The 27,656-nt window shown below is 37.1% G+C and overlaps 1 protein-coding gene across 4 annotated transcripts, besides 2 other annotated features; it reads right to left on the reverse strand.

Annotated features, from left to right (window-relative positions):
- Positions 1-354: 354 nt before the first annotated feature.
- Positions 355-27,074, reverse strand: SPTSSB (serine palmitoyltransferase small subunit B). Of its 4 annotated transcripts, NM_001320679.2 has the most exons (4): positions 26,992-27,074; positions 15,359-15,451; positions 3,522-3,660; positions 355-1,912 (listed from the first exon to the last, which is right to left on the reverse strand). In NM_001320679.2, the coding sequence occupies exon 4, from the start codon at positions 1,878-1,880 to the stop codon at positions 1,650-1,652; it is 231 nt and encodes a 76-aa protein (NP_001307608.1). In that variant the 5' UTR covers positions 1,881-1,912; positions 3,522-3,660; positions 15,359-15,451; positions 26,992-27,074; the 3' UTR covers positions 355-1,649. The 4 variants fall into 4 exon arrangements, with proteins under 4 accessions (NP_001307608.1, NP_001035189.1, XP_024309148.1 ...); NM_001040100.2 differs by lacking the exon at positions 3,522-3,660; XM_024453380.2 differs by lacking the exons at positions 3,522-3,660; positions 15,359-15,451; positions 26,992-27,074 and adding an exon at positions 5,052-15,350.
- Positions 26,547-27,101: an enhancer, noted in NCBI's record as "H3K27ac-H3K4me1 hESC enhancer chr3:161088778-161089332 (GRCh37/hg19 assembly coordinates)". NCBI's record gives its function as "activates a minimal SCP1, AML or CMV promoter by ChIP-STARR-seq in naive and primed H9 embryonic stem cells {active_cell/tissue: H9 hESC(naive and primed)}" and the evidence as "EXISTENCE:reporter gene assay evidence [ECO:0000049][PMID:30033119]".
- Positions 27,102-27,656: an enhancer, noted in NCBI's record as "H3K27ac-H3K4me1 hESC enhancer chr3:161089333-161089887 (GRCh37/hg19 assembly coordinates)". NCBI's record gives its function as "activates a minimal SCP1, AML or CMV promoter by ChIP-STARR-seq in naive and primed H9 embryonic stem cells {active_cell/tissue: H9 hESC(naive and primed)}" and the evidence as "EXISTENCE:reporter gene assay evidence [ECO:0000049][PMID:30033119]".

The following is a 27,656-nucleotide window of genomic DNA, read 5'->3' on the forward strand; positions in this document are numbered from 1 at the left end:
TCCCCTGGGCTTTCGTGTGCAAAATATTTGCAGGGCCCGGTGTGGTCCTGACCTGGATTTGCATCCTTGCTATGCTACTAGTAGCTACTAGTAGCTAATCGACCTTGAACAAGAAATGTAACTTTTTCAAGTTCCAGGCTCTTTACCTGTAAGTAGGAGACCTTTATACCTACTCCAACATGGAAAATGTGTCCAGCATGGAGAAGTCCCTTGATAAATGTTAGGTTTTTGTTACCGTTTTAACACCAGTTACCACATTGGATTACTAAAAAATGATAAGCTGGGGAGAAATATGCAATGTAACATCTAGATATTTAGTGCAATATGAATAAAAAGTAAATCTGGAAGTAGATATTTACTTACAAAATTAATTTTATTTTGCAAAACTCAACAAATACATGTTCAGATCTGGTTTCTCTTCAAAACATGTGTTTGTTTTTTTAACAAACATGCAAGTTAATTTGGCATGCCAAACATCTTTCTCTCTAGCTCACCTTGGAAAAATTTTTTTCATAACACAAACAAGGGTGCAAATATTGTCCAAACCTATTTACATTTTTACCCTCTAGAATTACATACATTAATATTTATTGGGAGGAAAGCAAAACTGCAAAACGTAGTCTTTGGCATTCACATTTGCTTCAGCAGTATAATTAAAACCTTATATTTGTTTTAAAGATAAACAGTTTGAAGGAAATTTAATAAATCTTGTTTTGGCTCTGCAAAGGAGCCACTATATCAAAGCATTTAACTGGAGCTGTTGAGTTCCTGCTGGTAGAATATTACTTCCAGCCTATTTATTAGCTTGTCTTCCGGTGGCCCAATACATGCTTTTTTCCCTCTACACTGAATGAAAGTACAAAAAGAAAACCATTTCTTTTCTCTTTTTCCCCCAGCATCATGCAAGGCAAGGCAACACCACAAATACAATAACTGAATTTACTTTGATTATACTTTAGTTTCTTACACTTAAAATTATTTTGTATTATAATACTTACTTGGTTATCTAAAATCAACATTGTTGATTTTAAACGGTTATAAAGCCAGACTTTAAGAAGCATTTAAAACAATTCATGAACTCTGTATGAAAGGAAATAATTGCCTCCAGCTTATTCTTTTGCATTTGAAGTAAAAGAATTTCCAGTATCATCAGTTTACTAGAAAATAAGACTTAGGGGGTCCATATAATTTATTCACATCTTTTTATACATCGTAAACAAGGATAGGATACTTCTGACAGTAGCCTATAAAGATTTTTTAAAATTTATCCTTTAGTATAGAATAAGTGTCAAGGGAGCACTTTAAGCATGATTCTGGTAGGTCTGTTAGGAGTCTATTTTCCAGAAAAATTTTGTAGGAAATTGTTCTGATTTTAAATAAACTAAATTCATAGATTTGTGTTGACAGAATATGATTTGTGAGGTAAAGTCACTGTATTATCTCCGGTCTAAAGCACAATGTAGCATGTGCAAAAGAAACTAAAGAGACATGTATTTCAAACTCCAGGCAGAAAGGCAGAATATAAGAGTGCATAGAGAAGAGAGTGCTTTTCAGGTCAGATAGTGAAGGAAGACACAATAGTTACCTAAATCAATAAGCTGTAAGCAACATATAAATATGCAATGCCATTTCACTGAATGTGAACAGGATCAATTAGAAATTGTACTGTGATATCCACATATTTTTGAGAAAAATTCCCAAGCCAGGCGAATGTGGATTGGAATAAAGACATAGGCAGTGTATACCACCATAGCAATAATGGTTAGTAAGATGGTGTTAAACATAGATCGCTCCCAGGGCTCTAAAACAGCACAGCAGCTAATGATTTGGTATTGATAGTAGAGCCAGGAGAAATATTCCTTCACACGCCTCAAATCCATGGTTGGCTCCTTCAAGCTGCAGTAAGTTTGTCCTGTTAAAGAATGTAACAGATTAGAGGATGAGGAACCAAACATAGAATCACTTTAAAATTTCATGATCTCAGCATGTTAAAATCTTTCAAAGATTTGTTAAAGATCATTGAATATATTATTAATATATGAATATTCTGTAAAATAATACATACTATATTAACTATAAAAATTAATAATATTGTCACCACTACTAATAATCACTACTAAAATTGGCAGCAATAATACTATTAGTAACAGTAACATCTATCTAAACATGACAATTGTTAGAAATAACTTTAGTGATAATGGTACCTAAAAATTGAGGTTAGCCTCATTTTCCTGAGCCATGTATACAAAGAGAAATAAAAGTGAACCTAAGCACAGCTCTGAGGAAGAGACTTTTGAGATAAGGTCCAAGGGATCATTATGAGTCAAATGGATAGAATAGACAGTGAAGTAGGGAGAACAGCCAAGACAGAGGGAACAATATGTACAAAGGTTGGAGGTGGGAAGAAGTAGGTTGCTTTTGAGGGGCCACGGAGGGAGAAGGGAGCAGGGAGTGTGATGACACTGAAGAGGTGGGAATGGCCACAGTGAGGCCAGAAGCTGTAGGGCCTAGTTGGATAAGTTAACTGTTTTATCTTCAACCTCTGAGTTAGGGCAATGCTGTGGTGGGTTTGAGAGGAGGAGGCTTTAAGTTCATGTGGTAATGCTGCATTCTGGAGTCAAGTTGAAATGACTTTGGAGCCCAAGTATTTCAGAAAATCTGTACCTCTACTCTTCCCTAGGGCATTACTGTTTCAGAATCAACAGTATACTGAGAACCTGTTTAAAATATTCTTAAATACTCTTCATTTTTACAAATGAGATAATATTGCTTATTTAGAAATATTATTAACTTTTCTCTATATGTTGTGGCTATTTATTTATTTATTTGTTTTTGAGAGAGTCTCACTCTGCTGCTTAGGCTAGAATATAGTGGCACAATCTTCGCTCACTACAACTTCCACCTCCCAGGTTCAAGAGATTCTCCTGCCTCAGTCTCCTGAGTAGTTGGGATTACAGGCATGCACCACCATGCCCGGCTAATTTTTTTTTGCATTTTTAGTAGAGATGGGGTTTCACCATGTTGGCCAGGCTGGTCTTGAACTCCTGACCACAGGTGATCTGCCCGCCTCAGCCTCTCAAAGTGCTGGGATGACAGGCATAAGCCACTGTACCCGAACTTGTTGTGGCTTTTACAAATGCACTAATTGTCGGGCTCGGTGGCTCACGCCTGTAATCCCAAAACTTTGGGAGGCCAAGGCAGGCGGATCATCTGGGGCCTGGAGTTTGAGACCCGCCTGGCCAACATGGTGAAACCCTGTCTGTACTAAAAATACAAAAAATTAGCTGGGCATGGTGGTGGGCACCTGTAATCCCAGCCGCTGGGGAGGCTGAGGCAGGAGAATCACTTGAACCTGGGAGACCTGGGAGGCAGAGGCTGCAGTGAGTCGAGATCTTGCCATTGCACTCCAGCCTGGGCAAAAATTCTGTCTCAAAAAACAAACAAACTGCACTAATTAAGTGATGAGTAATGTGGTTAGGAGAATTCATTCATTCACCGAATGAATACATTTTAAGTATTACCATGTGGCTCCTTCTGAATATTAATGGCTTCGGAAAGACTTTATTCTCAAAGGCATCACAGTCAGGAGATGCTCTTCCAGGAAGCAGCAAACTGGACCATGTAACAAACATGCAGTGATCGAGGGCCCAGGAATGAGCACTAAGTGGGAGGAAAGGACATGGAAAAATGCTAAGGCATGGTGGGGCAGGACAATAGTCTCAGGTACTAGAGAGGCTGAGGCCAAGGGGGAAGGATCCCTTTGGTCTAGGACTTCAAGTCCAGCCTGAGCAACATAGTGAGATCCTGGCAAAACAAAACAAAACAAAACAAAACAAAACAAAACAAAACAAAACAAAACACTCTAAATTAAAAAAAATGCATTGATTAATTTCCCGGCTATTGCTTTCTCTATTAAAATTAGAATTCCTTGCTTGGGCAGCCCTAGCCAACACCTTAATGATGGCCTTGAGAAAGACCCTGAGCCAGAGGCATCCAGCTAATCTGTATCCAGATTCCTGAGCCATAGAAACTTCAAGATAATTAATGTCTATTGTTTAAAACCGCTAAAAGTCAAACAATCAATCAATGAATAAAAGAAACAGCAGATAAAAAGCACACCAACATGTATAGCACCAACAGTGGATACATGGTAAGATCTTGATCACAAATACCCCAAATCTGCAATGACTTTAAATCTGGCTGTTTTAAATATACTTCTGCACTGCTAACCATTTAAGCAGTTAAGATTAAAAAAATTTTTTTTTTGCCAGTTACCACAATCTCAGCCCTCTAAGTAGCCAGAACTGACATGTGAAAAGTGTCTCTTGAAAACACTGATTGTCTCTTTTTCTCTGATTCATTTTCCCCTTATTGATGATAAGCAATTTTAAAGACAGTTTGTGTGTCATTTCTTATCATGAGAAGGTGAGAAGAGGGAGAGTTGGTTATTATTGTTGAACCATCTGCTACAATCTATTGTTAGAATGCACACTATTTTTAGGTTCTAGATTTGCTTAGGTAATATATTTCTACCTTCTGTGAGTCAACTTTCTTATCTCCTGTGGGACTATATACAAGATTAAAAGGAAAAAACCACTTTAGACAATTTGATGAGTAATGTGGTTAGGAGAATTCATTCATTCATTGAATGAATACATTTTGAGTACTACTATGTGGCTCCTTCTGAATATTAATGGCTTCGGAAAGACTTTATTCTCAAAGGCATTACAGGCAGGAGATGCTCTTCCAGGAAGCAGCAAACTGGACCATATAACAAACATGCAGTGATCGATGGCCCAGGAATGAGTACTAAGTGGGAGGAAAGGACATGGAAAAATGCTAAGAAGAAGGCTAGAAAAAGAGCCTGCATTTGAGGAAATAAGATGACAGAAATATGAAATTAATTATCCACTGATAACCTAGAACTAGATGATAGCAAACATTTTAAAGTCCTAAATTTTCACAGTGAAATGTGATATTAATCTATCCACTTCCTTAGAGACCTAGTGCTGTATCTCAGCAAAGCTAAACCAAGAACTTGAAATGCTTACTTTATTCAGGCACACCATGCATCTCCTGTTTTTAGTTAGGTGCTTTTGAAAAGATGACTTTCGATATATGGAAAAGAAGGAGAGAGTAGTTTATTCTTTTTTAAAAAGAAAAGTTTCCTCTAAACTTGATGACTTTAAAAATGTTCTTAGATCTTTCATGAGATTGTGTATTCAAAGGTGGCACTCCTAAGCAGACTGTGATGTGGCTTCAGGCAGGGGTACAGTGGCCTGGATACAGTTTGACTCTGACATGCTGAGACAGTGATAATACCGGCTGTAGCCTGAATGTTTCTGTGTTGGAAGTCCACTAAAAGGTTATTTCATAACTGGGAATGCAGAGTAAATGATTATTTCTTATTTCTGATTGTTACTACTCTTTTATCAACGGGTGGTGATTTCCCTCTCATTAGATTTGTGTGCGGTGGAGAAGGAGATGAAGTTACATCTCCTCTCTCAGATAGAGAGGGAGAAGATTTGAGACTTATGACTCATTACACAGGGGCAGGACTTTGTTCTGGCTTGGATGGAGAAGAAAGTGAATAAATGTAACAATTAAAAAAAACCACATGTGGTAACACGAACACTGCTGTATGAGTCATGGAATGTGAACACAGTTGAGGGGAGCTTGCAAGAAAAGTATTGGCTGGGCTTGCTCAGGGAGCTCTTTGTTGTTGTTTTCTGTTTTGGGGAACAGGACTGGAAGGAAGTTAGGTAACTGCAATGAAAGAGGCGTAGCAGGTGATTTGGTACAGTGGTATTTACCTTGGAAATATTGCAGAAGACGTGATCAGTAGCCCTCCCCCTGCCAAAAAAGAACTACCCCAAGTTACTGGATTTTCTCATTAAGGAATTTCCTATTCTAAAGGTAGCTATTCTCCTGGGGAAAAAAAAGACTTAGTACATTTTGGTTTAAATTTACTTCTAGAACATCAGAATCAGGGACTGAACAGTTAGAAGGGCCTAAAGTTGATTTTTGGGTTAACTCCTTCTCAACTCACTTTGGAACTCTACATCAATCACTCAGCTTCATTTTTTTTTTGTGCTTCATATTTGGAACCTGAAAATCTGAGAAGTGATAAAAGTGTCCTGCCAGTTGCAGAGAGAGATGCTGTATCTAAAAAGAGACTCTTTCTGTACTCACAGTAGCTTTCTTTGGAAACAGCTTAATATGACTTACTCAAGTACAAGCCCTCCTTTAACTGAGTAATTCATTTATTTAAAAAATTAGAAATACAGCGATTTCCTTCCAAAGAACACAGTATGGAAGGGGGGATAAAAATGAGTAACTTTACAGTGGAGAAAACTGATAAGCCCTGCTTCAGCCAGGTGGTCAAGGCCAACATCGATCATTATTAGTCATGTTGATAACAATCATGATATGAATAATCTTCATGATATGATGTCAAAAAAGACACTTTACCTCTGTGGTCTTCTTCCCAATAACCCATAGATCCAGCCTAATCATGAGAAAGGTATCAGACAAATTCCATTAGAGGGGCATTCTACAAGATACCTGACCAGTACTCCCCAAAACCCCCAAGGTCATCAAAAACAAGCAAACTGTGAAAAATTGTTATAGCCAAAGGAGGCTAAGGGAGGCATTATGACTAATTGTAATGTGGTATCCCAGATGGAATCCTGGAACAGAAAAGGGACATTAAGTAATAACTAAGGACATATGAGTAAAGTAAGAACTTTAGTTAATACTAGTATATCAATATTGGTTCATTAATTGTAATGAATATGTTATACTAATGTAAGATTTTAAAGGGGACACTGGATTCAGGGTATATGGGAACTCCCTGTATTGTCTTCTTGATTTTTCTGTAAATCTACAACTGTCCTAAACAATGAAGCCGATCCAAAAGAGAAAAGATTAATTAGGAAAGCCTTCAAAGGTCCAGAGTTATCCCTATTCTAAACTCCAGTGAACTTTGCTGAAGCTTTACTTCCTATCTGGAAAATTTTTCCCAATAACTATGTACATAGATGAGTAATATCCTTGCATAAGAGACTGGCTTTTAAAATTTCTTAAACACAATAAAGAGGAAAAATACATCTTACATTGTGATCCATGGTGTATACACTCACACATACACACACAGAGAGAGAGAGAGAAAGAGAGAGAGAGTCATATAACTGAAACAAACATCTCTCAAAAGAATACTTTGCAGAGCATGCTGATATTTTTTATTCTATTCTGTTCCATTATATTTATTCTTATCTATTCTAGTTAATTCTACCTTATTTTGTTATTCTCTTCTTTCATTAAAAACATCATGATTGTGTTTACTACATTGATTTCTTAACCTACTAATTGCAACCTGCAGTTGGAAAAATCCAACTTTAAGGCTTAAGTGTTAGCTTCTCTAAGATGTCTCCGTACTGTCCAATATGGCAGCCACTAGTCACACATGACAATTTAAATGTCTAGTGTTTAATAGCCACATGTGGCTAGTGGTTACCATACTGGAGAGAAAAGATATAGAATATTTTCAACATTGCAGAATATTTTGTTGGATGGTGCTGTGGACTCTCCATCTGTTGCTTGCACTAATGAAATAGCTACCTACTTGTCTCTTTTTTACCTTACAGTCTTCTAAACTGCTGCTAGAATTAACTGTCCAAACTTAACAGATTCATTTCTCTTCTTGAAAGCCTTCAATGGCTCTCCATTTCCTATGAAATAAAACCTTCGTTTAAAGCCCTTCACAGTTTCATTTCTTCACCTCTCCAGTTAAATCTCTCAACTCTCCTGCTAAATGCCATTCATTCTAAAGCTTCTATGTTTTCATTCATGCTCTTTTCTTTTCTTGAAATTTTCTTGTGCCCCTTCTCTGCCAGATAAACTCCTATTTTAAGCTATTGCTTAAAGAAGCTATTTTAAGGCATATCTTCTATATTCTTTCTTCTATGAAACATTCTCAGAAGACCCCTCCCCTGCAAAGGAAAATATTATTACTCTCTTTTATGTGTTACCATTGTAGCAACATTTTTAGTTATGCACAGTCTGTTTCCCCACAAGACTATGAGGGCTTTGGGTACTGGGAATGTGCAGCATTCATCTTTTTATCCCCAGTGCCTGGTTGGTGAGCTGGCCTGTTGGCTGACTGACCGATTCAGTTGTAAGGTGGTTGAAGGCAGGAAGCACACTCGAATGTACTTAATATTTCCACAGCACAATGTGGGGATCATAAAAGGTGCTTCTGAATTCTCATTGTCTGCTTTCAGGCAATGAGTTTTAGACAGATTGTTTTGTGAAAATTCAGTACAATCTGTTTTTTTGAAGCATGGAAGGGAGCTGGTGCTAAATTTTTAAAAATATATATAACAAATGCTTTTTTACTTTCTTATAATGTTAAAAGTTCATGGACTCTGCAGGGGAATAAGAAAGACTTATGAATTAGTTTTAAATCCTATTGAAATAGCTCTTAGAAGTGCTTACTCTAGGTGAGTAATAATTTAAGATTGGTAGGTAGAAAAGTGGTTCTAATGGGAAAAATTCCAGGATGGGAACACCTGGACACTTGAAGACTTGAATTCTATTGCAGCTCTTTTCCTCTCTTTCTATTTATTTATTTTATTTGTGTCTTTGGGTAAATTCCAAAATCTTCTTGTGTCACAGTTTCTCCATGTGTAAAACTGAGATAATTGATAATTGTCTCTGAGCCTGTTTGAGTGATGTAGTAAGGAGAGTTGGAATGGGTTTTAGCTCTTTAGACATAATAGTAATATTCACAGCAACTGTAGTGTCTTGTCATTACTTGTAGATTTGTAAAACTTTAAGCCACTTGCAAGATTTTACTAAATTATAGACTCAAAGAGTCTTTGTGGAATATAACAGTTACTTCAACAATGGAGTGATTTGTATATTTGATGGGGAAAAAACTACCCCTTATTTATGTTTGCTAATTGAATCATCTAGTACCTTAAAATAAATAAATAAATACACACGTTTGTAGCCATGATTGCTACATGGCTTCACTACTTGAAAGGTATTGGAACCTGTAAACAAATGGCGAAATATTTCTTGGGCAGGGCCACCACATACTGTTGTGTGGGCTGTGCACTGCACAACCAATGTGATTGTTCTTGTCTCGGGGGCCTAATCACAAGCTGCATCTTCATGTGAGCACAATTAGATTCACAGAGATACAAAGACATGCAATTTCTTATTGTATCGGACACATGAATGTGGTTTAAGTTTATCTGATTAATGGGGCAAAACCTTATATTGCTTCTGTGTAAGAATTAGACATAACCTCAGTTTATTGGCTGATCAGTTTCCAGATACCTTGCTCTACATTCTCTGTGGGTGACCCCAATGTTTTCTGTGCCCTACAGAAAATTCCATCCTTGTTTAAACTTTTGGAGGAGAATTTTCTTTTCATCTTAGAATACTCCCCAGCCTTCCTTTGGCAACCAATTCCTCATGTTGACAGCAGAGTGAATACCAGAAGTCAGACCAGAGGTGAAGATTTGGAGTCCAAGTTTTTAGGGGAAGCTGAAAAAAACAACTTAAAAGTTTATGATGAATCAAAGGTAGGGAAGAAAATCGAACAACCATAGGGCAATTAAGGAACTTTCTCTACACATTCATTAGTTGGATAATTTTATAGACCCTCTAGAGATAAGAAACAAACAATTGTAAGTCAAAGCACATTATCGCTTTAGGCAGCAAAGTTACTCTAATTAAATTTTATAATCTTATACTTGGAAGTTTACTGAAATAATATACTAGAAGGAAAAAGTCTCACTAACAGTTCAGTCAGGTTGTTGTTGATACAGTGTTTTGTGTTATATACAATAACAGAATGTTTTATGGCTACCTGAACTCACCTTATTTTATTTATGCATTTATTTATTGAGACAAGGTCTCGCTCTGTCACTTAGGCTGGAGTGCAGTGGCATGACCACAGTCATTGCAACCTTGAACTCCGGGGCTCAAGATATTCTCCTTCCTCAGCCTCCCAAGTAGCTGGGACTATTGGCACATGCCACCATGCCCAGCTAATTTTTAAAAAACAGTTTTGTAGAGGCCAGGTTGTACTTTGTTGCCCAAGTTGGTCTCAGACTCCTGGCTTCAAGTGATCCTTCCACCTTGACCTCCCATAGTGATGGGATTACAGGCGTGAGCCACCACACCTGGCCTGAACCAATTTTATTACCTTCCATTTGTATTAACACTAACAAAAGCAAAACAATTTAAAAAACATGTATTTCTAGTCCAACTATCAATTGGAGTCATTGTGCAACATGGCATGTGTTGAGTAACTGCAATTTCAAGGCAGTCCTATTTTTTGGTCATCTTCTGATAGACTACAGAGGAATTTATGAATGAAAAACTTCCAGCTGGGAAAGAAAATTTGGAATTCGACTTTAACAAAAATTCTCATGATAATATAGAAAATACTAAATTCAGATTAGATTAATCTCAGTATTGTGTGGCTATCAAAAAGAAGAAACATTTAGAAAATAAAGAGTGCCACATACATTGATGCTGAGGAGATATTAGGAGTAGGAAGAGAAATTTGTAACAAGGGAATGGTCTATCTTGTCTTGCTTCTGCTGTCCTTTCACTTCCTAACAGAAACAGGGTAAGTATCCCTGCTTATTTCTGGCAATACTGGAAGGGAGAGTAGGGCTTCTAGGTCAAGGTTTAGCTACAATGTCCTTTCTTAGTATGAGCTTCTTTATAACTATTTTATTTAAAAAGAAAAGAAACTTTGTTGTTATATAAAGAAGGAAAAGGGAAAATATATAACTTCTGAGTGGCTTTTTCCTTTTGAATATATTGTTGCCAAGGGCTGCCAGGTTGTTTTTAGAAGCAAAAAGTGAACAAACTGCAACATTAACAATGGCATTAAAGCCACCAAAAGTTGTTTTCTAAGTCATTAAAGGTGTATCCACATTCACAGAAGCATTATTCACAATAGTCAAAAGATGGAAGCAATCCAAATGTCCATGGACAAATGGATGGAAAAATAAGATGTGGTGTATACATACAATGGAATATTATTCAGCTTTAGAACAGAAGGAAATTCTGGCACATGCTACAACATGGATGAGCCTTTGTTGTTGAAGTGAAATAAGCCAGTCACAAAAACTGTATGATTTCACTTACATGAGGTATCTAGAGTAGTCAAACCCTAGAAACAGAAAAATGATGGTTGTCAGGGACTGGGGAGACGCAGAAATACAGAGTTATTGTTTAATGGGTATAGAGTTTCAGTTTTGCAAGATGAGAAAGTTCTAGAGATTGGTTGAAGAACAATGTAAATATACTTAACACCACTTAACTGTACTCTTAAAAATGACTAAGATGTTAAATTATATGTGTAGTTTACCACAATTAAACATTTTAAGAAATCAATGAATAACCCTAAAAATTATGAAGGACTGAAATTTTAAAATAAACTTTAAAACAGTCTGAATAATATTTTTAAAAAGTTATTAAAAGTCAATAAGAGTCTCAAGTTGGAATGGGGCATTACTAGTCTAGCAAAATCACATCGATGTACCATACAAAGCTGAGTAAACAAATAACCCCAAAGGTCTTCAAATAATAATTGTGAGGTCCCAATTGGGGTTCCCTTCTTGGTTGTCAAAATAGAAGGGGAAAACTCAGAAGAGCCAAACCCCCAAGAACCTTCTTGAGATGACAGCTGACATATTTAGGTTTATTCCTGGCATCAGTGAAATTCTAATAGCTTAATCTTCTACAGTACTTGTGGGAACTGTGAATTCTATGATATGCTTAACTGCCTTAGGAAAGACTTGCTTGATGTTTTTTCTAAGGCCTTTGTTTTTCTTAAGAGCTAGAAGCCTGACCATGAAAAGTTAAGCCTTTTTCTCTTCCCTACCTATTGTTATTACATTTTATGAATCTTCAGCAACTGAAGATTTTTATCCAGTGAATAATTTGAGGGTGAAAATGGTGAGTTACTGCAATATTGATCTGTCAGGAGTACGTTGTTCTCAGAGTTCTGCCAAAGCAAATCTGGTTGTATAAGGAGCTGGTCAGCCAAGACCTTTCCAATAGTGTTTTCTAATACTAATTGTCTGTTTTCTTTTCACTTTTTTGGGTAATATTGAATAGATATGTTTATACAACTTTTTAAAAAAACATATTTATCTGTCTCTCCCACTTCTGCTTATTCTTTATTTCTTATTACATTATCTGGAAAGCTGTGGTGATGAGGTCAGTGTTTTTCTTATTTTGGTGACTGACAACATTGAACTTTCATAGATGTGATTTTGTGACAGTAGTAATCTAGCCTGCTGCCCTTTCATTGCCCTCAGTTGACCTGCTTCTGCATCTCACTTATTAGCGCTTTTACAGAAAAGAGTGGAGGCTGGGCGTGGTAATCCTCGCACTTTGAGGGGCTGAGGTGGGAGGATCGCTTGAGCCCAGGATGTTGAGGCTGCACTGAGCTGTGGTCATGCCACTGCACTTCAGCCTGGGCAAAAGAGTAAGACTCTGTCTCAAAAAGAAAAAAAAATAAAAATAAAAAAGGAAAAGAAAAGAGTGGAGAACTAGGCGGATCAGGCCATAGAGACACGCATAGCGTTGATAAGGTGCTCTCTCTGCCAACCCCTGAATCAAGGGACATTTCCCTGCTTGGTTGGTTATACTGCTGTATTCCAGGTTAGATGGTTTCAGAGACAGAGGGGAGGTGAGAAGGGAAAGTAGAAGTTTATAGTCAAATTCATGAGTATTCAGTGAAAACATGTTGCTTTAGGCACATAAATCGCTTAGATTTTATAATCTTATACTTAGAAGTGAATTACTGCAATGATATACTAAAAGAAAAAACTCTCATTGACAATTTAGCCAAGTGGATTTCTGATTCTCCTGAGAATAGTGTGGATATATTACTGTTGGGTTCATCCTCCTTCACCTGCTCCCAGCCATATGGCTACCTACATGCTTCCAGTGCAAAGAAAAGGAGTGGTGAGATAAAATGATTTACTCCCTCTGAATAAAGCTGGCTTGTTGTCAGGGCGAAGGCCAGAGGGAATCTTCCAAAACATAAAAATACTTATATTGGGATTTTGTAGTAAGTCGGATATTAGCCGCCCAAAACCTATGTTCATGTCTTGGAAGCAGTGAATATGACCTTTTTGGAAGAAGAGTCTTTGTAGTTCAATTAAGTTAAGGATCTTGAAAAAAGAGCATCCTGTATTACTCAGATTAGCCTTAAATCTAAGGACAACTGTTTTTAAAAGAGAGACACAGAGAAGGCCCTGTGAAGACAGGCGAGATCAGAGTTAGGAAGCCACAAGCCAAAAAAAAATGCCTGAAGCCACCAGAGCTGGAAGAGGTGAGGAAGAATTCTCCCTAGAGCCCTTGGAGGAAGTACAGCGCTGCCAACACTTTGATTGCAGACTTCTAGCCTTTGGGAGTATCAGAGAACAAACTTCTGTTGTTTTAAGCCGCTAAATCTGTGGTGATTTGTTACAAGAGCCCTAGGAAGCAAATACAGATATCTTCCTTAGAAATGGTAGAATCTTATAATGTGATCTCTTTGCAGGCAATAGAAACTTTTGTTTTTTTTTTTTTTTTTTGGAGATGGAGTTTTCCTATGTTGTCCAGGCTGGTCTGGAACTCCTGGAGTCAAGTGATCCTCCTCACTTCAGCTTCCCAAGTAGGTGGGAATATAGGCGTGCACCACTGCCCCCGGCAGAAACAGCAGTTTTCAGTACCAGTGTGGTAGGCAATGGCTAGATGCCTAACTTAAATTATCCCTGTTTTAAAGATAAGGAAACTGAGGCTCAATGTGTCATGAGGGCCATGTGGGGAGCTGGGTGAGAATCCTGCTGACAGGTCGTACGGTGAAGTGGTTACAAGCTTGGGCTCTGGTCCTGTCTGGGTTTGAATCCCAGCTCTGTTCTTACTAATTTTGTGACCCTGGCCAAGTTACTCAATCACTCTGACCCTCAGTTTCTCCAGCTGGAGAACAGGAATAAGATAACTTCATTCACACAGATGCTGGGATGATTAAAAAGTATAAAATATTTAGAATAACACATAGGAAGAGCTAAGTGAATGTTAGCTATTATGATTACTACCACACTATTCTAATATGGTATTGCTAGATTATGACTACCAGGCAAAGAATGAAAGAGAATGGGATCATTTTTAAGGTGGGGCATATGACTTTTATTGGTTACTAAATTCAAAACCAGTTTTAGAGAGGTTATTTTTCAGAATGTTTATTCAATTTTGGTGTGGCTGTCATAAAGCAGACAAACAGGCTTCAGCAACCTCAATGGCACCTGTTCTTTGCTGAATACCTTACAGTGTTCTGCAAATGCCAGGCATCCTACAAGTATTTTTGAATTAGTAAAATCAAGGCTTGTTATCAATAATGTTAAAGTAATATTGAGCTTTCAAAAATATTTTGAAATGAAGAAATTATTGCCAACCATTTCAGAGTTACAAATCTCCAAAAACACTGTAGCAAAAGGGGAAGGATTGGGAAGCAATCATTCATAAGATAAATCTATTTGTTTTTGTCCACATCCCCTACCCTTGGCTGATAGGTCACTTTTACTATAGGTCACTCACTATAGATTGAATAAAAGTGGACAGGCAGCTAGTAGTATCTAGGTGTTTTTTTTGTAATTCTATTTCCTTTTCTTTCTTTATTAAAAATAAAGGAACCAGAAAAAAATTAATGTTCTGTTATAAACATTAGGCATCTTCATTTTAATTGTTAATATTTTTGGAAAATAGTGTTTTCATTTTACCATATTTTTCTCTTAATTTGTCTGATCTGGTTAATTAAATGCTTATTAAAACATATATTCCTCTCTTGTACCAAAGGTCTTCAAGGGTAAGATGCTGCTCCATTTAAATAAAAGATGAAGGATGTCGAAACACAAGCAGCCTTTAACCAGTAGACCCATAAATAAGACAGTAGCTAGTGCTATGCAATTCTAACACTGGCACTTGTGCTGGGATTGGCCTCTTCTAGGCTAGGAGTTCTTAACCTGGAGGTCAAGGACTTGGGGGGAGGGTCCTATGGACCCCTTGCAATGTAGGCAAATTTTGCATAAACATTTTTCTGCACACGTTTCAAAGGAACTTGGAATATCCGTAAGTTGAGACCTCCAAATTACTAGAGCTAATTGCCCCATTTTATTCCTTTGTATCATCTCAAATGCCAATATAATATCTAGTGTATAATAAATGTTTGCTGGCTGCTTAGGAGAGAACTAGATGTGTTAATGACGCCATCTCACAGTGAAAAGGGGCAGATTTCTCAAAGCAAGTCTCCGTGATATAATCAGAATTTACTTGCCTAAGAAAGTCCAGGTCTGGTTCTTCAGCCTTGCTCCTTCACGAAATGATCCTGTGTGGGTTAGTTCTCCTCTCTGGGTTGCTGTTTCCTCATCTGCAAAATAAAGATTTGAATTAAATAAACCAAAAGATGTCTTCAAATTTTAAAACCATTCTGTCCCATGTAAATGGTCATTAAGCCATCTAGATGGATAATCTCTCACAAAAGTCTAGAATGTGTTATAAACACAAGGCACAACAAGCCAGCCTTATTTGAAAAATTATTTTTAGAAAAGGTCACAGTTTGAAGATATGCCATTGGCTAGTGATTCCCCAATCAGGACTATAAAGTGCCACAGGTACCAGGGTTGAGGGGAGGCCCAAGGAGGGACAAAGGGAGGGGCTAAGAACACCCCACCTCACTTCTTTTGGAGCAGACTGCTTTTGATCTGCTCTCTAATTCAGTTTTTGGGTGAGATTTTGTTTGTAGAAAATATTTCTTGACTTTATTAATCTCTCTGAATATCCATGGGGGACACGGGGAAGAGATTAGATTAGTCACTATCTATAAAAAATTTGTCTTTAAAATCACATTGGATATAGTCAGAAGCAATAAGGCTTATATCTTATTGTGTCATTTATTTGATGTGGAACATCAGGTATGTCATACAGTCTTTCTCAGTCTTTTTCCTCATATATAGAACAGTGATATTGTCTTATGCATATATTAGGTGTGAGAATTAAATGAGAAAATATCTGTGAAAATGTCTTGTAATTTGTGAAGCATCATAAAGATGGTTAGTGTGTCTTCAGTAGTTAGCCCCAGATTTTTGCACTTTGCCCTGACCATTTGTAGCTTTTTTGTCCATATGAATTAAGTTAAGAAAAGTACGTATCATCAAATTTCCAGATGATCCCATGTTATGGTGTAGGGGGATAAGAGACTTAGCAGATTGCAGATTCTGAGGGTAAAATGGGGAAATCAAAAGGTCCTGTTCTTCCATACAAAAAGACAATTGGTAAAGATAAGATTGGAGAAAATTAGCTTATAAGGAGTCCCAGTAAAAATACTAAGGATTTTTTATTGGCTTCAAGTTCATTTTAAACCAATAGTTTTGTGATATGACTGCCAAATAAATAAATAAGCGGTCCAATATTCTTACATATCTATAGAAATATGGTGTCACAGATGAGAAAAAGGGGATATGGCTTCTGGCTTTGATTAGCATTCTTCCTCTAGCTGTTAAAATGGTCACTCCAGCAAGCTAAGCATATCCATAGAAAGCTAGATGGAGAAGTCCTGGAAGGTTTCCTCTGGGAAATGCTGAGAGAAGATTTGGGGGGAGGAATGTGTCATGGAAGTCTTAAAAGATCTAAAAGGTATTAAAGGGTGTTATAGGCTGACATGGAGGAGAAGATTTGGAACTGTTGTTTTGTTTGCAGAGGTGAATCTTAGGAAAAACTTTAAAAAATCAGAGCTGTCTAAAGGGGAATGGGTTATGTGGTGAGGTAGCGAGAGCTCCATTAGGAAAATTGTCCAAGCAGAGGCTAGACAACACCTTCTAAGTGTTGCTATGCATCAGGAGGCAGGTTTTAAGAAGATATTACTAAAATCTCACCGATTCTAAGATAGTATTTCTACAGTAGAATTAAATATTCCACCAGAGAATTATTTACTTTGTTAAAATGTTTTTGTCATATTAAAAAAAGTGTGGAGTTTGAAATTGGCAAACTGGAGTTTGCTATTGCATGGTATTTGGATATTGTTTAACCTCTTTGAACATTAGTTATGCCATCAGTAACATGGTGATTATCAATTATTTCTGCATTATTGTGGAGATTAAACAATGCAACATTGGTGAAAGGTCCTTAGTGATGACTGGTCTTAGTAAAGGCTCAAAGATAGTAACTTTCGTCACAATTATTATTTGTTCCTTCTATTTTCTACATGCATTTTATTTCCTCTTATCTAACAGATTCCTTTTAGGTGATTCTACTGAATCCTTCAGGGACATGTGATATAAGTGGGTGAAATGATAACTCCCATGAGCCTCGTAGGAAGAATTCACCCCGAAGGAAGTTAGCAGATCACAGAGTTACTGTTTTGTATTTGCATTGATGCTTGTTTCCTCCTAAATAGAGGTAACTTGTGGAACAGCTTTTCTTTGTTGTTGTTCTAAATTATAACCTGATTTTCCTGCCCATCAAAACCAGAACTAGGCCAACCTGATTGATTTATTTTTTCTTTGTTCAAAGTTTTAGGCAATAAAACAACCTACTAAAATTTTAAGGCCCAAGCTCTCCATCGCAGAGTAGACATGATATCTGCAGCCTCTAGGAGTAAGAAGGGTTAGTAACTGAACTATTGGGCTCAGTTATGTATGTTTCTATGCCTAATTTTTCTATCAATAAAGTGAACCTAAATCAATTTTACTTAAAATTGCTCTTCAATGGGTGAATTAATAAAGGAGAAGCAGTTTACTATTCTTAGAAAAAGATCAAACACATGAGATCCTGTTCTCTCAAGCATACTGCCAAATATTAAGTAAGAATCTTCCACTTCAAATGCATTGAGCTAAGGGACAAATGTACTGCGACTCCACCTCCCCATGACAGACCTTTGGTAAAGAGTTCACATCAAATTTTTTAAGTTGTTCACTTTGTTTCTTAACTACTTTTTGCTTTTCCTTCTAAAAATCAAATTTGTACTCCACAGCATTGATTATTTTAGACTCATTCCCCACCAAATATAAGAATTTATTTTTTTGATTCTATAAACAAGAAACAAATCAGAATCTATAGCTAATCAAAATTGATAACTGTGAGAGTGGGAATGATCAAGGTACAGCTTGTTATTGCTTAAACAGTTGCCTTGTTTATGATGACAAATAATTACATTAAAAAGCTGCATGACCAGACTGTGAAATAACTTATTTAAAGGATTGTTAGAGGAACTGGGGCTATTTAACATATATTATTCATAAAGCCCATGAAAATTGAGTAAGCACTTTCTACGGTATCTAATTTAGTGAGTAGTAGTGATATTATGTTTGATTACAAATGTAGAGTTTAGACAACACTTATAAGAAGTTGTTGAATTTTTCTGTTGCAGCTTTATACAATATGATAGTAATAATAATACGTACAAATGTATGCTTCTTTGTATTATTTACAAATATATATATTTATATCCACTAATATGTATGTATATCATTTGTAAATTTAAAAGTAACCAAATTAATTTATCATTTTAAAATAAGGTGTCAATTATGTTCTTAAGAGTTTACAATTGCTAAGTACTAGATTAGAAAGTTATTTATTTATTTCAAAATTTCATTTCCATTATGTTGGTTCCATTATGTTTAGCTTAAAAGATTTTAGAGAAGACCAAATGTAAACTTTTTAGGAAAAACATTTCTTTATTTTAACTCTTAACCTCACTAGAGAGATAAGGTTCTATGTTATGTGACAAATAATGCTTCTCCATCAATAGTATAATACATTTAAAAAATGTCTCTAGAAATAGTACAGTTAATCAGATTTTCTTGACTATTTGAGTGACAAATACTGACTTTTGTATATTAAATTCAATATTAGTGAAGGTAGATCAGATAAAGATAGTAGCTAAGTCAGAAGACTTTGCTGACAACTTTAAGAGAAATATTGTTGCTATGCTAATAGACTGGTTTTTAATCACAAAGAATAATTTCTTTGTTTATTAATAGTTTTAACTACTGTTGAAACCATACCTGCTCTTATAGAAATAAAGTATCCCCTGAGATATCACAATAAAAATTATAAAATATTATGAAAAATATAGACAACCATAATTTTACCATTTTTAAAAAACTTTGTATATTGTTAACACTTTGGAGTTTTTTCTATGCATGTTTTACTTTCACACTTGATTGTAGTCAAAGTATGTATTTAATTCTGTATTCTGATTTTTTCAATTAATTTTGCTCAAAGGGATTTTTAAATATCTTTACACAGTTTTCTAATCATCTTTCTAATGATTGATTGCATTAGGCTAAATTTCAAGGTACCTCAAGATTTATTCCATTCGTACCACAAACATTTATTGGTCACTGCTATAAGCTTAACATTGTTTTAGGCACTTTACAAAAACTTCTACCCCTGTGCAGTCTATGGGAAGATGACACAGGATGTATAGATGGTACATGAAAAAAAAAATCCATAAAATCTCTAATTCAGTGCTATTACTATCCTAGTGTTAAATACTTCAGTTTTTCATTAAGTTGCTGATTATTAGCCAAGGCAGTAAAAAATATGTATATATGTTTGTGTAGATCCTGTGGCAGGTTTAAATCTATTAAACTTAAACTACTTTTTTTTAAAATTTCTCTATCTAAACAGATATACAGCAGTCATAGCCTAGTAACAACGCCAGAATAATTTTGAGACCAAAGGAAAGTTCTGCCTGGATAGTTGATCAGGACAGCTTCTATTTTCAGTGGGCCTGGGCATGTGTGCTAGGCATCACATGCTTTCCTTCATGTGTGATGGCTCCCAATTCAGAGATCCCACAGTCATCAAAGGTCGCTATCTGAGTAATTAAAACAAAAATGTTTTTGAGCGAGATTTAAAATTTCCTATGAGGATCCCTTTGGTAGGGGAAGAGCCCAAGCATATTCTCTCAGATAGAAGTAGAAGAAAGCAGCAAAGTTACTGGGTTTCCATATGTTGGTCACAAGTTAGCTTTTCATCTCATTTAGTTGGTAATAGATAACTCCATATGAGGAGGCACTATGCTAATTTTGATTAAAGGTCACACACAGGAAAAAGCATTAGATTTTCAAAAGAAACAAAAAGATAATACAACACCCTTAGGTTTAGATAAGACTAAGCTTCAAATAAGATGCATCCATATATATATAATATATATTTATTTAATTTTTTTTGCTTTATTTTCTACTTCTTCATCAGTGAACATTCATTGGTGCTTATTTCTATGAGGCACAATTAGAATGTTCCAGAACGTAAACATGAACTGATATTTTGGCTATATATGGGGAATGTAAGTGTGGTATTATTGCCCCAGAAAAGTTGCTTTGGGCATGACATCTTGCGCTTTTTTCCTTCTTTCTTTTTTTGAATCATTTTAACTTTCTTGTTCAATAGGCTATTTACATTTATTCCCAAATTCTCTTTTTAATATTTTTATAGATATTGAACTCAAAGTGATAACTTTAGCTTGGAATTACTAATTGACAACCTTTGATCTTATAATGGAGCTGAAAGAGCAGGGATACAATACTTAAATGGCAAATTGTCACCTGGAAGCTGCCATTTTATACTGATAATAGTAGCAGATATTTATTGAGCAACTTATGTTTCGGAAGTTTGATAAGCACTTTATATGAATTACTTTATGCAGCTCACTTAACAACAATATAAGAGATGCACTACTTGTATACCTGACAAATCATTTATCCATCCTTCCAGCCAGCTAGCCACTCAGTCAAGTATTTAGCAAGGATGTAGGAGGGATATAAACTGTCAATAAGATAGACATGGTCACTGTCCTTAGGCTGCTTTCTAGAGAAGAGGAGGAGCAATTAAGCAAGCATCCACACACAGTGTGGTTTATGCTATGATAGGGAAGTGTAAGGTTCTCAGGGGCATAGAAGAAGACTCTAATCCAGTCTGGAGGAGGTGTCAGGTCGGCAAATCAGAAAGTTGTTGTCCTTATTCCTGTGTTCTCAGACATTTTGTTGCAAAAGGCATATAACATATCCTCAGAAGGAAAGGTCTTTGAAATAAGGTCCTCTTCTGTCTTGTTACCTAAGTGCCTACCACATAGTAGCTGCTCAATCAAAATTTGTTGAATGAATGAATGAGAATTCTAATGCTCCATAATAACTCCCTTGTGACAGGGGGTCTTTTGACTTATTTCTAACTTTATCTTTATTCTGAATATTCTTAAACACTTTTCCTCTAAGCCTGAAATAAATGTATCCTTTTGACTTACAAAATCAGGTCTCTGCTCCCTTTTAAGCCATTACTAAAAGCTCTAGTCCAAGAAAGCTGCGGCACCCATTATATTTCACTAGAAAGAGACCTCCTCAGGTCTCCTTTAAACCAAGTGCCCTGAGTAGGAATTCTGGGACAATCTGGTAAAGTGGAGACTGGTTGCTTTTTCCCTCTTTTTTTCAGTTGGTCTGTGGGATTTGATGCTCTGCTCACTTTCCATAGTTCTGAAAGACTTGTTCTCTCTTTACCTGGGCATGATGGCCTGGAAATTTCTCTTACCTTACTTCTCCCCAACACTTTCACTCTTCAAACGGTATTAACTTTGGGGAACTAGTTCTTAATTATTTACCACACAATTCTCTGGAAGACTGTAAGAATCCAGGACAAAGCTAGAGGAAGAGACCAAAAGCAAACTAATTCTCTGGAAGACTACAAGAATCCAGGACAAAGCTAGAGGAAGAGGCCAAAAGTAAACTGAAAGCCCAGGCTGATGATTTCTTTGAGCAATTTTTGTTATTATAATGCAGTGATTTACATAGGTTGTAATTCGCGAGAGCAGGTGTTGGGTTCTGTCTTCCTTATGCTTACTTGGAAGGCCTTTGTGCTGATATACTATTTTTTTCTGATGAAACAACAGCAAATATAGGCAGCAAAATAATCTTGGTGGTTGAAGCTAATGGCAAGGGGAAACCAAAGCTTCCCAGGGGAAGAGAGAAATTAACTGGGAGCTGGTAGTCCTTTTGGCGAGTTACAGTGGCCAGGTTTGTATGTGATTTTACATTTTTCTAATTGCATGATCTTAATTCCTAGTCTGATCTCACTATTTAAAATTGTAGCTCGTTCTTTTCTCTGTTTTATGTTTCTTCAGAGCCCTTATCTACATTATGTAATTTACTTATTATTATTAATGTTTGACATCTTGGGAATTTTTGTCTATTTTGTTTATTACTTATCCAGGGCCTAGAAGTGACCTGGTACAGGGTAGGTGTGCAATAATTCATTTATCTTTTTTAAAATCTGTTGAATAAATGAATTATTAATCCTGATGAAAGCAATATTTTAAAAGTAACTATAATCAAGTTTTTTCCTACATGTATTGATTTTATAAACAAATGGCTGGGCCGGGTGCAGTGGCTCACGTCTATAATCCCAGCACTTTAGGAGGCCAAGGTGGGTGGATTACCTGATGTCAGGAGTTTGAGACCAGCCTGGCCAACATAGTGAAACCCCATCTCTACTAAAATACAAGAAAATTTAGCTGGGCGTGGTGGCAGACGCCTGTAATCCCAGCTACTGGGGAGGCTGAGGCAGGACAATCACTTGAACCTGGGAGGCGGAGGTCACAGTGAGCTGAGATCACGCCATTGCACTCCAGCCTGGGCAAAAAGAGTGAAACTCTGTCTCAAAATAAATAAATCAATAAAAATAAAATAAATAAATTGCTGGACATTAAAAATTATTTTATATAAATCTTTTAATTAGAGAAAATATTACAGTGGACTTCTACAAAAGCTTTCATGGTCAAAACCCACACAAATCAGCATGATATGCTCCTCAAAAACATACACATGAAAGAATAAGCCTGTGCTGGTGAGAATGGAAAATCTTGAGGTTTCCTGAAGCCGGTAGACTTAAATCCCTAAAGCTAAGGGTATGGTTTGTTTCAGTGAACTAATAACTGTCTGGCAGCAAGGCTGAGGCTGCTTGCCACCCCCATGACACTCTGAGGCTCACTAGTTTTATATTTCCATTTCTGGACGAAGCATTATCATTTGATTTCATGGTTCTTAGTACAGGATCAGGCAGCTTGTGGGAACTCAAAACATAAAAGATGAATAGAGGAACATATTAATTATTTGGGAGAGTCTCCTGCATTTGAGGTTGTCGTAATCACAGCAGATGCTTTCTGACAATGACATGTTAGTATGCTGTGAAGACTTCAGTGGCTGCTCCAGCTTTTCCTCTTCCCAAGACTCTCTGGCTTTTAGGGCCAGTCTAGTGTAGGCAAAACTGGGTTAATCTGAGTAGAAGGCAAGTACACTTTTGGCTGAGATCCAGGTACCTTCCTCTCTCACCCAATGTGGGCCTGAACAAACTCAACCGCTGGCCTGAATCACTGATAAAGGACTAGACATATCTAGAAGTAGGAGGAACAAGTGGCCTCACAGGTCCTGGATTAATATAACGAATTGATGAGTCCAAAAAGATATAGCATTGCAAGCAAATTCTTTGTAGGACTATACTAATGACATTTGACTTAATTCTAAGTGGAGAAAAGTTTGGGCAGGCATGTAAACATATGTGAATCACATAGCTGTGTGACACCTGTGAAATTCTTAAATATTTCATATATTTTAATGTGGTCATTGGGGAAAAGCCTCACATAAACTATTGGTCAAATGGCACATGCGGATTCAGCAACTCTAAGTTTTAAACCCATTTGTTCTTTTAATACTCTGGAAAATTTTTTTAAACCGGCTTTATTGAGATAAAACTCACCATACAATTTACCTACTTAAAGTACACAATTCAGTGGTTTTTAGTATATTTACAGTATTGCAACCATCATGACAGTCAATTTTAGACCATTTGCATCACCCCAAGAAGACACACTGTACCCTTTAGTCACTCCCGTTTTCTCCCTAATCTTACCTTCTTTTTTTTTTTTTTTGAGACGGAGTCTCGCTCTGTCGCCCAGGCTGGAGTGCAGTGGCGGGATCTCGGCTCACTGCAAGCTCCGCCTCCCGGGTTCACGCCATTCTCCTGCCTCAGCCTCCCAAGTAGCTGGGACTACAGGCGCCCGCCACTACGCCCGGCTAATTTTTTGTATTTTTAGTAGAGACGGGGTTTCACCGTTTTAGCCGGGATGGTCTCGATCTCCTGACCTCGTGATCCGCCCGCCTCGGCCTCCCAAAGTGCTGGGATTACAGGCGTGAGCCACCGCGCCCGGCCCCTAATCTTACCTTCTACTGCAGCCTCAGGAAACAACTAATCTACTTTCTCTATAGATTTGCCTATTGTGGATATGTTATGTAAATAAATCATATAGTATGTGGTCTTCTTTCACTTAACGTAATCTCTTCAATGTTCATCCATGTTGTAGTATGTATCAGCCACATGATTTTCATTGCTGAATAATATTTTATCATTTCATTCCATACTACATTTTATTTATCCATTCATCATTCAATAAACAACTTGGGTTGTTTCAATCAGCTTCTTTGGGTGTTATGAGTAATGCCACTATGAACATTTGTGTACAGTTCTTGAACGGACATAAGTTTTCAATTCTCTTGAATATATGCCTAGGAGTGGAATTGCTTGATTATGTGGTAACTCTATTCTCAACTTTTTGAGGAACGATCAAACTCTCTTCTATAGCGATTGCACCATTTTCCATCCCCACCAGCAATACCAGCAATATATGACAGTTCAATTTTCTCTACATCTTCTCTAACACTTGCTATTATCTCTTTCTTTCTTTCTTTCTCTTTCTTTTTCTTCTTTCTTTCTTTTCTTTCTTTCTTTCTTTCTTTCTTTCTCTTTCTTTCTTTCTTTCTTTCTTTCTTTCTTTCTTTCTCTTTCTTTCTCTCTCTGTCTCTCTTTCTTTCCTTTTTTTTTTTTTTTTTTTTTTTTTGTGATAGCCATTCCGGTTGGTGTGAAGTGGGATTGTACTGTGGTTTTGATTTGATTTTCATTTCCCCAACCACTAATGGCTAGTAAACACCTTCTCATGTGTAAATTGGCTGTTTCTACCTGCTCTTTGGAGAAATGTCTATTCAAATTTTTTTGTCCACTTTTAAATGAGTTGTGTTCTTGTTGTTGAGTTCTTCATTTTCTGTCTTAAGAGTGGAGGATGGTTGGAGGAAGAGAGCCTCAGAACTCTCAGTTGCTCTTATCTAGAATAGAGCTCTGAAACACAAAGCTGGGGATGATGAGTAATGCTGGTGGCCTGCTTCTCTCAGGGTATACTGTAGACGAGGATCTAGGTTGAGAGGGGGCCCTGCGTTAGTGGCTGCACCCATCCTTACTGGAACATCATCACACTCAACTGGAGAGGGTGGGGAAATATATTGTGGTTCAAGCATCACAATTGTTTGCAGTTCTTACTGAAATATAAGAGATTGTCTTGAATAAATATTTTCTTCGTGCTGTATGTCCTTAGGACAATTACCAGGAACTTTAAATGGTTATTTATCTATAATTTTCACCAGTTATTGTTGTTTTTAGGGAGTGGATTTGAAAAGCTCTTCACATCACCATTCTGGAAGTGAGTCCCATTTGGATCATTTTTTATGAATATTTTGTTTCTTTTATACTTGGTGGTAAGATAGTGGCAAAACTCTCTTTATAATTAGCATAGTAGAGATAGAATTGCTGTACAATTATAAAGGGCAGTTTTTATAAAAGTATTTGCAAATTTACAGTGAATTAAGAAAACCAATGAGAGTTGAGGACTGGTTGATTTTCAACTTCAAATCGACTTTCAACTTCAAATCTAGTCGAATTCTAGAATGACCATGCTTTGTTTTGACAAATAATTTTTAATTTATTATCATTAAATAGTTGTAAATAAATATCTGGATAATGAGAGTGACAGTACATTTCATACTACAGCTTGTTGGTTTTGGTCTAGTTATCTATGTACAAAGCCTTCACAGCCCTTGAGAAAGTCACCGAAATGACCTGTTTTAAACAGCATAGGAATAATTCAGATGTGGAAATCAAGTTATTAAAAATTCAACACTTTTATGTATACATTTTAGAATTTCACTAGCAAAAATTACCATGTCTTTCTTAATTTTTGTCTAATTCAAAATAAGTACTGCACCACAAAATCTTTTTGAAAAACAATTTTCCCAACTCCCCTGATGCAGTTATTTGGACTTTGGGGCTAGTTCTTACATTTAACAATTCTTCAAACTCCTTATGTGATTGTGGACTGGGCTCATATGTGAATTGCCAACCAGTTGAATGTCACTTTAGTTGAAACAAATCTGGAGTCCAACTCATATTTAAAATGCTACTCTAAACATTTCCCCACCTTCTTCATCCCCATGGCAAAGTTAACTATTTAGCTAACTCTAGCTGGCTGTCTTTTGGTGAAGAAGTTTGGTTACTTATAAAGGATGACTTAAGTATCTTTGAGAAAATACATACTGCTTAATACTTACAAGAGAATGTTAAAATGTATTCCTTGTTGGAAATTCTTCACTTTTTGGCAGGTGACTTGTGTGTACTATTGCCTAAAGTACAGTAGTTTAAGTAGCTTATGGGCAGAGAGGGATTGTATAGGAGCACGGAACTAGGTAAAGATGAATATTTAAGAAGGAAACCAAGCACAACCCAATGATATTTTCCTGAGTCGTTAATGGACTACACGAAGGTAAATAGTGAAAATAGTAAAGAAATTTTCTCTTCTTTTAGTTTGGAAAGTTTCAGTGTTAAAGTTTGGCTTCTACTGAGTGAAACATCTTAGTTTCCCACATAGTGAAAGGTAAATGGAAAAATCCATCAATTCTGAAAATTGTAATGCAGTTAAATAATAAACTGATAAATTGCATTAAAGCTCAGTATTAATTTTTTCCTCCTATAGAGACAGGAATTCTATCCTACTAAAGCTACTTAACAGTTCAAGTAGGTATTTTGGAAGATGCTTACCTCCCAGTTGGGTGTATCTCCCTGCGGCTTAGGTGAGCGCCGAGGCTTTGGCTCCTCCCCAGCTGCTGCGAGCTTCCCACTGCGCCGGGCGCCTGGGAGCCTCCCGGAGTTAGGTGTTCGGCCCCGCCCTCAGGACTCTTGCTAAAACTCAAATTCTACCTGGCTAATTCCGGTGATTAATTATTGACAAAAGGAAAACACTCCTACGCAAACTTGTGTCCAACCGCACTGCTCCCAGCGACTCCTTCCAGAAGAGAATGCCTGCTGCAACACTCCCCTCCCCCCCTTGCTCTATGGTCCCAACTTCTCATACGCTGCCACTCTTAGTCCTGGGCGATCAGACTGGTCCTCGGAGGAATGCAGCCCAACGACTTCTACATTTTAAAATCTGGTTTTCTGCAGCTCGTTCGCAGTTCTCCAGGGACCAGCCTCTCGAGAGGGGGCGCTTTCCCGGTGCAGGGGAAGCCGGGGCTCCGAGAGCAACAGAGGCGGCTGAGGCGTCGCTGTCACCTCCGGCTGCTGCAGTAAAACCCCGAGCCGAGGCGGGGACGGGGAGGAGGGGATAGGGAGGCGCCCTCCCCCGCTCTGGGGCTGGGATCCCCGACTCTACTGAAGGGGCACGTCCTTTGGCGGTGGTAGAGGGGCGGGCGGATAAACAGGAGGTA

Source organism: Homo sapiens, chromosome 3 (assembly GCF_000001405.40).
Source record: "Homo sapiens chromosome 3, GRCh38.p14 Primary Assembly".
In the NCBI taxonomy this organism is placed as follows: Eukaryota; Metazoa; Chordata; class Mammalia; order Primates; family Hominidae; genus Homo; species Homo sapiens.

Coding starts and splice junctions, on each gene's coding strand:
- SPTSSB (NM_001040100.2), bottom strand. CDS start 1,880: ATGGATTTGAGGCGTGTGAAGGAATATTTCTCCTGGCTCTACTATCAA.